Source organism: Homo sapiens, chromosome 6 (genome assembly GCF_000001405.40).
Source record: "Homo sapiens chromosome 6, GRCh38.p14 Primary Assembly".
In the NCBI taxonomy this organism is placed as follows: Eukaryota; Metazoa; Chordata; class Mammalia; order Primates; family Hominidae; genus Homo; species Homo sapiens.
In genome coordinates, this window is record NC_000006.12 from 31765589 (window position 1) to 31777486 (window position 11898).

The following is an 11898-nucleotide window of genomic DNA, read 5'->3' on the forward strand; positions in this document are numbered from 1 at the left end:
TTGTGTCACCAGGAGGCCAGGCCTAGCAGAAGCAGCACCCCTCCAACTGTGCCCCACCAGGGGCTGCCCGCAGCCAGCCCTGCCCCAGCCCTGCCTTGAGTCACCAATGTGAAGGGGGAAAAGGCAGGGGTGGCCGTGGTGAGGATCGGGTCAGATGAGCCGGTAGGGGTGGTGTGCCGGTCCTGTGGGGAAAAGGAAGAGAATGACAGGGTGTGCTAGAGCTGTACTCAAATTAAACCTACACCACCCTCCCCGGCCTTGCCCACCCTGTGATGGAAAGTAGTGGTTCCTCACCTGCGGGGCTGGGGCCGATACCAGGAGCCGGAGGAAAGCATGAGTCGGGGGTACTGGGTTGGCTTCTCGTCCCCCTGCAGTCACAGTCACCATCACCACGGAATCCGGGGCCGCTGAATCTGGGACCTCCAGCCACAGGCGGCCCCAGGCCGACTCATTCAGTTCCAGGTGAGCCCTGGAGAGAGGATATAGGCGTCGCTAAAGCTCCAGGCTGCCCAGAGCCTAGAGTCGGGACGCCTGCAGGGGCACGGGAGCGGAGAGGAGGATTCTGAGGGCCAGTCGGAGGGGGACAGGGGCAGGGCTTGGGATAAGCATTGGCCGGGCAAGATGCCAGAGGGAGCTGGAGGGTTCATGAGCCTCACCTGGAGAGGTTGGAGGTGAGGGAGAAGCTGGGGTTGACGAAAGTCCTAAGGTCAAGATCCTGAGGGCCCGAGAAGCTGGCGATGCGGAGACTGAGCGGGACTTTGCTGCCCGGGGCCAAGAAACCCGAGGGGCCACTAAGCTGCAGAGAAGGGTTCTTCAGGGAAGGGGCCGCTCTAACTCTCTCCAGCCCCAGCCGCACTTTCCCCTGGCGTCTCACCTCCAGAAGGACAGGGACTACAGTGCTAGGCTGAGGGGCAGCCCTGTGCAGGCGCCGCCCCGCTGCGTCCTGGCCAATCAGCTCCAGGGAGAAGGGTCTAGGGGTGGACAGCAGCGTGGGCGACAGCGAGGCTGCGAGGAGACCTCGCTCCGGAGGTCCCACGGGCTCCAAGGGCACCTGGCCTAGTTCGGCACCCTCTGGGACCCCTCGAAGGATGACGTGGGAGAAATGCGGCTGAGGATCCCCAGGATTGGCTCTGGAACCCAACCCTGTCACTTCTACCAGCAGCTGGGTCTGAAGACCTGGGACAGGGGCGAGGAGGGGAGAACATTGTGAGATTCGGAGACACAGGGAGAAAAGAATTAATGGCCTTCAAAATAGGGGTTCCCTCTGGGGAGTATGGATGGGAAAATAGGTTACCTTCGAGGGGTATTGATGGGGAGCATCAGGAGGGAGTTCTGGGGTGCTGGAAATGTTCTATATCCTGAACTGGGTGTATTATATGAAATCCATCAAACTGTACACTTTAGTGCACATTATGTAAATTATAACTCAATATAAAAGTTATGCATATGCACAGATGTATGTATACATATATACATTATATATATAATATATATATTATATATTATATATTTTATATATATATATAAAACTGGGGGTTAGGTGGGTGGGGGCTCAGGGAATAAATGTACCTGCAACTGGCTGAGTCAGGGGGTAGAGGCCAGGGTGGGGTCCATCCTCCATGGGGATCCCAAAGTGGAAGAGGAAGTCCAGGGAGGTCTGGGCTGGGAAAGGGCAAAGGCAGTCAGAGCCCTTCCTGAAAGGAATGTGACTGATCGTGTTCTCTGAGGCCTGCAGTCTCTGCTTCCCCTTCCCAGGAACACCTCCCTCCTTACCTTGCACTCTCACCCCAGGGGTGTCCTCAGCTGTGACCTGGATCTCCCAGGTTCCTGTCTGTGGAGGGTCATCCATGGTCACCATCCAGAACTGCCCAAAGCGGCGAGTGTGACCTAGAGGACCCCCGCCTTCCTCCTGGCCCTGGGAGACCCCTGGGGTCAGGGAAGAGATTGTCACATGAAGCACTTGCTCTCCTTGAGTACATCCCCTCGATTGTCTATTCCCCGGTCCCCTCTCTTCCCTCTACCTTCAGAGGTACCTGCAGGGTTCTTGATCCAGAAGCTGCTGATGTCTCCGTGGATCCGGACTGTGATCTTCTGGAGCAGCCCATCCACGCTGAACACAAGTGGCTGCCCAGGCACCACAACAGGAGGGTCCAGGGGAAGAGTCACCTTGAGGGATTGGCAGGACCAGAAAATGGGGAAGAAGATGAGGTATGGGATGAGGAACAAAGAAGAAAGGGGAGATAGAAAGAAACCACGTCATTGGGCCGGGCGCAGTTGGTCACGCCTGTAATCCCAGCACTTTGGGAGGCTGAGGCGGGTGGATCACAAGGTCAAGAGTTCGAGACCAGCCTGGCCAACACAGTGAAACTACATCTCTACTAAAAAAAAAAAAATACAAAAAATTAGCCAGGTGTGGTGGTGGGCTCCTGTAATCCCAGCTACTTGGGAGGCTGGAGCAGGAGAATCGCTTGAACCCAACAGGCAGAGGCTGCAGTGAGCCAAGATTGTACCATTGCACTCCAGCCTGGGCGACAGTGCAAGACTCTGTCTCAAAAAAAAAAAAAAAAAAAAAAAGAAAGAAAAAGAAAAAAGAAAGAAACCACGTCAAACAGGCAGAAAGGGATACCAGTAAGAGAGGGGCACGGGGCCAGGGATGAAGTTATTATGGTCAGAGACAAAGTTGGAGGCAAGGGATTCAGGATGAGACAATCACATCTTGTGCCCCATTAAAAGATGATAGGCCAGGCGTGGTGGCTCATGTCTGTAATCCCAGCACCTGGGAGACCAAGGCAGGAGGATCACTTGAGGCCAGGGGTTCAAGAACAGCTTAGTCAATATAGCAAGACTCTGTCTCTGCAAAATACAAGCCACCTCCCCAAAAAGATGGTAGGACTTCCTGTGGTAACCCTGGAGGCAGAATACTGGAAGCCAAGTGGGGAGAGGTTTACTGATATAAAAGGACAATGCAGGCCAGGCGTGGTGGCTCGCGCCTGTAATCCCAGCACTGTGGGAGGCCAAGGTAGGCGGATCACTTGCGGTCAGGAGTACGAAACCAGCCTGGCCAAAAAAACGGTGAAACCCCGGCTCTACTAAAAAAATACAAAAATTAGCCAGGCCTGGTGGTGGGCACTGGTAACTCTAGCGACTTGGGAGGCTGAGGCAGGAGAATCCCTTGAACCCGGGAGGTGGAGGTTGCAATGAGCCGAGATTGTGCCACTGCACTCCAACCTGGGTGACCATAAGACTCCATCTCAAAAAAAAAAAAAGAAGTGGCTAGTCATGGATCTAAGAGGAAGAGAAACTTCCTTTCCTGCCCCGTGACTGGAAGAACAACACAGCAGTGAGAGTGATTCCCCTTTCTCCTATAAGAAGAGAGGTGCAGCCTGACCACCCTTCAGTTCCTAAGTGAGGGCCCTGGCCCCCACTTACCAGGGCAGCCATGCTCTCCCCAACAATGGCTGCCACGTCTCGAATGTGCTGGTCTTTGGTGAAGATCACCTCTCCTCCTGAGGCCAGGGCCACTGCTTTGTATGGCTCAAAACGCAGAGGGGACAAGATCTCACGCCGAGCTCGACCCTGAACCCTTGATGTATCTTCAGTCACCAGGAATGTTACCTGTACCCAGAAGAGAGCTCAGTGATTGGGGTGTCCAAGTGCCATCCACTATTATGAATGAGAATCCCTGTGCTCAAGCTTTCTCCAGAGCTGATGGTTTGTGATAAGGTCTCTGCCTGCCTTCTGGCTGCTGGGGTGGGGAATCCCAATGACAGAACCCCCTGCCTTCAGTTAGTAGTTGGCCACCCCCTTGTAACTGTCACAGTGGATTTTTGGCGACTAGAGCCCCAGTTCTTCACATTGTTTATTAGGCAGGGTCAAATAAAAATTCAGCGTTATTAAGGGTAGGGCCTCTTACGTATATCATTAAAGGTATCAGGAAATGTTCCACTCATTGTCTGCTTCTCCCACCATATACCAAGGCTTGTTGGGCCACCATAGTGTGGTGCAACCCTCGTTATGAGATTGTCATCACAGGGTCTCTCACATCCCTGGGAGGCTAACACTGGGTCTCCCACTAGCTCTGCTCACCCGGCAGCGCCGCTCCTGAGTCAGGGATTCCACCTGGTTGGTGAGAAAGGCATCCTTGGGGGAGGCATCCGTGAAGACAAAGATATCTGAGAGTGGAGGTGTGTGCAGCAGGGCCAGCTGGCAGGGAAGGCAACGACCAGTGTTAACAATGGCAGTAGGAGGGGAATGGGTAGAGCCACGGAGGATGAAGCAGAAGGGAATATGGCCCGGGAACCCTACAGTGAAGCTAGTGGATCTAGGTGCTGAAGGTGGTGGGGAGCCCCAGGAGGGATCTAGCTCCCCCTGGTGGTGGGGCCAGGAAACGGGGAAGAAGGGAGGGGCCAGACCTGCAGGGCTGACAGGCACATCTCAGGCTCGTCTCCACCCCCCAAGGCATGGATCTCATTAAGCTGTTGCCAGAAGCTGTCAGGGTCACTGGTTGTAAAGACAGGGCCGAACCCTGGGAAGGGGAAAGGAGGTTAAGATAAGTGAGGAAAGAGCTCCCCTCATTCTTACCCAGAGCCACCTCCCCAGTTGAGGGGCCTGGTGTGCTTCTGGAGCCGACAGGTATTGAAATAACAATACTCCATTATAAGACTCATACTTGGCCGGGTGCGGTGGCTCACACCTGTAATCCCAGCATTTTGGGAGGCCAAGGTGGGTGGATCATGAGGTCAAGAGATCAAAACCATCCTGGCCAACATGGTGAAACCTCGTCTCTACTAAAAAATATAAAAATTAGCTGGGCATGGTGATGCATGCCCGTAGCCTCCCCAGTAGCCTCCCCAGAGGCTCCCCAGTAGCCTCCCCAGCTACTGGGGAGGCTGAGGCAGGAGAATCACTTGAACCCGGGAGGCAGAGGTTGCAGTGAGCCGAGATCGTGCCGCTGCACTCCAGTCTGGCGACAGACTCCATCTCAAAAAAAAAAAAAAAAAGTCATACTTGTCAGTGCAGGGCGGGGCAGGGCGGGGCAGGGCAGGGCAGACCTAGGTGTCCCTGGTGGGAAGGTGGCCTCCACTCCCTGAAAAAAATGGTGGCATTTCCTGTAGGCCTTTATTGGCTACATGTGCGTATATAAAAAAAAAAATGGTCACACCTATTATCCCAGCACTTTGAGAGGCTGAAGTGGGAGGATCACTTGAGCCCAGGAGCTCGAGATCAGCCTGGGTAACATAGTGAGACCCCATCTCTACAAAAAAATACAAAAATTAGCCAGATATGGTGGTGCTCATCTGTAGTCCCAGCTACTCAGGAGGCTGTGGCAGGAGGATTGCTTGAATCGAGGCTGCAGTGAGGCATGATTGTACCATTGCACTCCAACCTGGGTGACAGAGTGAGACTCTCCCTCTCTCTCTCTCAAAAAAAAAAAAAAAGAAAGAAAAGAAAAAAAAAAACTGGGTTTCCTCATAAGAAAAGAGACCGAATAGCACTTACCTCAGAGGTTTATTGGGAGGACTAAATGAGTTGATTTTGCAAATCTTAAGATAGTGCTTTGACACATAAGTGCTAAGTTCTTAGTTATACCTTTATTTATATCTTCATCAAACATAATAAGTCTATTAAATGCCAGCCACTGTAGGATGTATGCAGGCAAATAAGACTCAAATTTAGGCAACTCTCAGTCCAGTAGGCATTTTATTTGATCATCATTTCAACTCTGGGAGTTAGGCAGGATGAGGGAGGTGTCAGGCCTCTGAGCCCAAGCTAACCAATCATATCCCCTGTGACTGGCACTTATACATCCAGATGGCCTGAAGCAACTGAAGATCCACAAAAGAAGTGAAAATAGCCTTAACTGATGACATTCCAACATCCTGCCCCACCCTGATGTGATAACTGATACCCATTTTACAGATGATGAAATCGAGGCAAAGAAAGTTTACATGACCAGCCTAAAGACACACAGTCAGACTCAAGCCAGAGAGTCTAACTTCTAATCAATGGAAAAGGAATACAATGTAGCTAGTTATCTCAGATGCTTCCCAGAAGCCTGGCCCCAACAACCCCATCTTGATACCAATCTCTGTCTATAGGAAATGGAGAGAATTGAAAATGGCGGCCGGGCACGGTGGCTCACACCTGTAATCCCAGCACTTTGGGAGGCCGAGGCGGGCGGATCACGAGGTCAGGAGATGGAGACCATCCTGGTTAACACGGTGAAACTCCGTCTCTACTAAAAATACAAAAATTAGCCGGGCGTGGTGGCGGGCGCCTGTAGTCCCAGCTACTCAGGAGGCTGAGACAGGAGAATGGCGTGAACCCGGGAGACGGAGCTTGTAGTGAGCCGAGATCGCGCCATGGCACTCCAGCCTGGGCGACAGAGCGAGACTCCGTCTCAAAAAAAAAAAAAAAAAAAAAAAAAAGAAAATGGTTTATTAGCATGAAAGCCTAAGAAAGCAGAGGCCACGTGCCAAAGCATGAATCATGCATTAAACTCATGGAAAGTGCTGCCATTTTAGAAAGAGTGGGAGGCAAGTCTGCTAGTTATCTTTTTTTTTTTTTTTAGAGACAGGGTCTCACTGCGTCACCCAGGCCGCTCTGGAGTGCAGTAGTGCCATCACGGCTCACTGCAACCTCAGTCTCCTGGGCTCAAGTGATCCTCCTGCCTCAGCTTCCCAAGTAGCTGGGACTATAGGCATGTGCCACCACACCCACACATAATTTTTATTAATTTTTTTGTAGAGACCTGTGTTTCTCTGTGTTGCCCAGGTTGGTCTTGAAATCCTGGGCTCAAACGATCCACCCACCTCTGCCTCCCAAAGTGCTGGGATTACAGGTGTGAGCCACCCCACCCAGGTTGCTGCTAATTTTCTGTATGCACACAGTAGAGGCTCACTCGGGACTACAGGAAGTGCCACCCCGAGCCCACTTCCTCACCACAGGCCTTTATCCCTTACCTTTTTATCTTTTCTTTTTTTTTTCTTTCTTTTCTTTTTTTTTTTTTTTTTTTTTTTTTTTTGTGACAGAGCTTTTTGCTCTTGTTGCCCAGGCTGGAGTGCAAAGGCACGATCTCGGGGCTCACCGCAACCTCTGCCTCCTGGGTTCAAGCGATTCTCCTGCCTCAGCCTCCCGAGTAGCTGGGATTATAGGTGCCCACCACCACGCCCGGCTAATTTTGTATTTTTAGTAGAGACGGGGTTTCTCCATATTAGTCAGGCTGGTCTCAAACTCCCGACCTCAGGTGATCCACCTGCCTCAGCCTCCCAAAGTGCTGGGATTACAGGCGTGAGCCACCACGCCCAGTCTATCCCTTACCTTGAATTTTCCTCCCCTCTACTGTCCTAGCCAGACCACACTTACCTGGGTCATGAAAAGGCACCAGGACATAGTGGACAGGCTCCATGGGGCTGCCTCTCCGCTGCTCCACAAGGTGGCGAGCCTGGATTTTGGCAGCGTTGATCTCCTCACCCATGCTGCCCGTGGTGTCCAGGACAAAGCTCAGGCTGGAGGCTGGGGTGATGTCCAGCAGCCTGGGGAGCAAGCCAGAGACACAGTGAAGGGCCTGCACGTTTGTCCCCAGCGCCTGGTTTCTCCCTTCCCGCAGGAGCGCCTCCCCATGAAGGGGTCCATCCCCAGGAGGCCACTCACCTGGAGAAATCCCTGTCTCCCAGGCGGCTTCGCAGAAGGCTGAAGGCCTGGATGGAGGCTAGAAGGGCCAGTTTTGCAGCCTGGAGGTGCAGCATGTGGTGAGGGGAGAAGCCTGGGGATGTGCTGTCCTTGTTGATGCCTCCCCTCGGTGGCTGGGAGCTGCTCCGGTCAAAATGGCCCCCGTGGCTACATTTCCCTGGGTTGGGGAAAGGGATCTGGAGAGTGGAGGTCAAAAACCCACTGCCTCCTAAGAAAATGAGGCCCTTTCAGGCCTGGCCTGACCCTCTCACCCCTCAGCAAGGGTTCAGCAAGAAATGATGACGGGGTTGGCGCGGTGGCTCACGCCTGGAATCCCAGCGCTTTGGGAGGCCGAGGCCGGCAGATCATCTGAGATCAGGAGTTCAAGACCAGCCTGGCCAACATGGTGAAGCTCTGTTTCTACTAAAACTATAAAAATTAGCCAGGTGTGGTGGCGCGTGCTTGTAATCCCAGCTACTTAGGAGGCTGAGGAAGGAAAATAGCTTGATCCCAAGAGGCGGAGGTTGCAGTGAACCGAGATCACGCCACTGCACTCCAGCCTGGGTGGCAGAGCAAGACTCGGTCTCAAAAAATAAATAAATAAATAAATGATGGCTGGGCACGGTGGCTCACACCAGTAATCCCAGCATTTTGGGAGGCTGAGGTGGGTGGATCACCTGAAGTCAGGAGTTTGAGACAAGCCTGGCCAACATGATGAAACCCTGTCTCTACTAAAAGTACAAAATTAGCCGGGCGTGGTGGCACATGCCCGTAATCCCAGCTACTCGGGAGGCTGAGGCAGGAGAATCGCTTGAACCTGGGAGGCGGAGGTTGCAGTGAGCCGAGATCGTGCCACTGTACTCCAGCCTGGGCAAAAAGAACAAAACTCCATCTCAAAAAAAAAAAAAAAAAAAAAGGATAAAAAGGATGGTGCTTTGTGGAGGGGAATTCTGGAGTAAATCTTAGGGCGTGGTGGTCAGTCACCACAGCACATGGTGGATCCCCTGATCCCTCCAGCCAGTCCCCCAAAACTGCCTATGACAAGGGAGAAATCCTATCAGCGGAGGAAGAAGTTGCTCCCCTACCTCAACCCCACCACAGCCTCCTCAGGGGACTTTCCTCCACCCACCCTGTTCCCAGCATCCTCTCCTCCTAGGAGGAGATGCCATAGCAAAGGCATACGGGCCTACAGGACAGAGATCCTGTAAGGGAATGACTTTCTCCCCTTACTTCTGGGGAACTTTCTTGTCTGGTACCTGGAGGTTTCGGGGGATGAGTTCCAAAGTAGCCAGAGGTGAGGAGTGTGAAGCCCAGCCAATTCCTGGGGCAGCTCAACTCCTCGCAATCGGAGCAGGTAGGATCGGCCACTGGGAAGAGAGGGCAGGGCTAGAACCCAAGATTCTGCCACCCCCAGCCTTTATCCCCACCCACCCAAACCTTTTCAGCTTCTCCTCCCAGCTGGGATGAGGCGAACACCCAGAAGTTCCCTAGCAAAGCTTTCTGAACTAAAACCTAGGATCATGGGCCCGCAGTGAGCCTGAATGTTTGAAACTAGGGCTGTGCTGGAAAACACAGCACAGGCTGGGTGCGGTGGCTCACGACTGTAATCCCAGCACTTTAGGAGGCTAAGGCGGGCAGAGCAGCCTGCGCCACACAGTGAGACCTCATCTCTAAAAAATAAATACATAAATAAATAATAAGAAAAAAACAAACACAGTACGTGTAGGGACCAATCCTATGGGGATTATGCCCTCTGTGAGTTGTGGACAGGAGGCAGCTTCCAGGTGAGAGGGTGAGGGGGCTGTGAGAGAAGGCCCCATGGGAGTCAGTGCGGGGAGGAAGCCACACTTAAGACGGGACTGAGGTCTGGAGACCTGGTCCTAGCTACTTTTCCCTGTGTGACCTTGGGGAAGCTGCTTAACTGAGCCAGGCGTTGCTTGGACTGGGGGACCTCAGTCCTTGTGGAGATTAAGTAACATCATACCCTCTGGGACTTCAGAATGTGACACAGTGGCTGGGTGGACTGAGGTGGCCCTGTGGACTCCTGCCTCACCACCAGGGTCACAGCCATACCTTGTGCCAGGTTCTGGAGCTCCTGCCTTGGCCAGAGGAGGTGAGGGTGTGGCTGCTGCTCGCCCAGCTCCACCCAGTTGCTATGACTGTAGAAATCCTGGTCCGGAGGACAGGAGAAGGGGAGTGAGGCACTAGTCTGGCCTTTCTCACCATCTCCAGCACTAATATGCCACTCCTTTGAGTTCCCCATCCCGAAAGTCCCCTCCCACCCCTACTGCTCCCACCAGACACCCCAAGTCCCCTCCACTGCCCTCTCTCCATTGCTCAGAGCAGAGCTTTGCCCAGGTGGAAACTGTCCCAGCATCTCTTCCCAGCTCAGAGTCTAACCCAAGGCCTCTCTCGGCCTGCAGAGTCCTGCTGCGTGTGCTGCTCCCTCAGCTCTCTGACCTCGCAGCCTTCCTCTCTCACCCTCACTTCTCTCCAGCCACAGCGCCCTCCTTGCTGTTCCTACAGGAAGCACTGCCAGCTTGGAGGTGGGGAACTGGGACACAGCCTCGGGGCACCGCGTGCCAGTGCCCACCCCTTCCAGAGTGGAGGAGACATGATCAAGAAGGCACCATAGGACGCGCTCCATCCCGGACAGGCACGGAAGTGAAGACCCCTCTGACCATCAACCCAACCCTGTTCTCACCTGCAGGGCATGAAGTGCAGCCCCGAGGCGCTGGCGAGCCAGGGTGTGGTCAAGGGCCCTGGCTGCCACCACGGTCTCCCGCAGAGCCCCTACCAGGCGCGCGCGTCCCTGACCCAGTCGCTCAGCATCAAAGTGCAGGTCGGGGTCATTCCTGGAAGTTGGCAGGAAGTCCTGGGCTGCATTGGCACGAGACACCTCACCTAAGGCTGCTCGGAACCGCCGAGAAGAACCAGGTCCAAAGTAGGCGGCAAAGAGGTCATCAGCAAGGAGTGTTCGACCCTGGGGAGAATAGCGGGCGACGGGGCTCCAGGGAGGCCCTTTGGATTGACTGTTGCCCACCTTATCTCAGCAACTGACACTCAAGGCTGGGTATGAGGGTCCTGAGCCCCACAAAGGAGGGACAGTCCCGGACCTTTCTAAGGAGGGGGACTCCTAATTTCAGGACCAAGACTACTGGGTATTATTGCTGCAGGGGTGGGGCCATGGGTGTCTCTTCTCTTGGCAACCAGAGCCCTCAAGGAGTAGAGGCCCCATGGAATTGGGGACTCTGGCAGGGGTGTGACAGGACCCTGGGATGCTCACCAGGAAGTCCTCAAGACGAAGAGGGGGGCGGCCTGGGGGTGGCTGCTCCAGGAAGAGCTGCAGGGTGACGTTGAGCGCTGCCTCCTCAGTTAGGTCTTGGTGGGTGATGGAGCCAGGGGCAGCCAGCAGGCTCCAGATGTTGGGGAAGAAGGCAGATGTGGGGGGCAGCAACAGCTGCAGCAGAAGCAACGCTGAGGGGCCCGGGTGGGATTGGGGGACCTCCGTGGGGAGCATGGCTGAGACATGGACCTGGGAGACAGAAGGCTCTCAAGGGAGGAGGAAGCAGCCGCGATTCCAGGGCAGGCCGGCTCTGCGGGTCTCCATGGGAACCTGCTTTACCTCAAAAGTCGTGTCTGCTCCAGCCTGGCTTCCCCACCCTCTCGCTGTCACCCAGACAACCTGAGGGCCTCATCGGACCATTAGGGACATACACACCTGCCAGGAGAGGGGTCCAAGGTTCCTCCCCCACGCCCCCCTCCCCAGTCCCTGGCTGCGTCCCCAGCCCTGCCGCAGAAACACTCCCCATGCTCAGGAAGCCTGAGTCCTCTCAGGCCCTCCCCTACCTGGTTGCTGGGTCTCCTGGGCAGGGCTGGCCCGGGCTTGACGTCACAGGGCACTTAGGTCAGAGTTATAATTAACCGAGGCTCAGCAGAGGGGGAGGAAGGCCTCAACAGGGTGGGGGAGGACAGGCAACCCCTGGCCCTTTCGCTCCTGCCTGCCCAAAGCCACAGGCAGCAGCCCACGCCAGGGCGGGCCTCCCTTGGCTGCAGTGCGGAGGTGAGTGAGAGCTGGGGAGGAGGAAGGGAGTAAGCAGCGTGACTCAGGCCTGGCACAGTGCCAGGGACAGACCCAGATAGACGCACCCCTCTGCCCTCCAGAACCAGGGCCTCACTCCCACCCTGCAGCCCCCAAGGATTCAGGCACCCAGCCCCTCTGCTCCC

At 54.6% G+C, this 11898-nt stretch overlaps 1 protein-coding gene across 1 annotated transcript, besides 3 other annotated features; it reads right to left on the minus strand.

The window, feature by feature from the left end:
* Position 1: 1 nt before the first annotated feature.
* Positions 2-11740, minus strand: VWA7 (von Willebrand factor A domain containing 7). Its single transcript, NM_025258.3, has 17 exons — positions 11521-11740; positions 10958-11206; positions 10376-10654; positions 9745-9841; positions 8928-9038; positions 7654-7849; positions 7366-7535; positions 4413-4525; positions 4087-4203; positions 3430-3615; positions 2034-2166; positions 1774-1926; positions 1570-1662; positions 875-1176; positions 657-796; positions 295-469; positions 2-182 (listed from the first exon to the last, which is right to left on the minus strand). Exons 2-17 carry the CDS (start codon positions 11189-11191, stop codon positions 6-8), a joined length of 2676 nt encoding a protein of 891 aa, NP_079534.2. The 5' UTR covers positions 11192-11206; positions 11521-11740; the 3' UTR covers positions 2-5.
* Positions 7284-7578: an enhancer, noted in NCBI's record as "tiled region #3149; K562 Activating DNase unmatched - State 5:Enh". NCBI's record gives its function as "activates a minimal TATA promoter and a strong SV40 promoter by Sharpr-MPRA in K562 cells {active_cell/tissue: K562}" and the evidence as "EXISTENCE:reporter gene assay evidence [ECO:0000049][PMID:27701403]".
* Positions 7284-7598: a biological region, named in NCBI's record as "Sharpr-MPRA regulatory regions 3149 and 4553".
* Positions 7304-7598: an enhancer, noted in NCBI's record as "tiled region #4553; K562 Activating DNase matched - State 5:Enh". NCBI's record gives its function as "activates a minimal TATA promoter and a strong SV40 promoter by Sharpr-MPRA in K562 cells {active_cell/tissue: K562}" and the evidence as "EXISTENCE:reporter gene assay evidence [ECO:0000049][PMID:27701403]".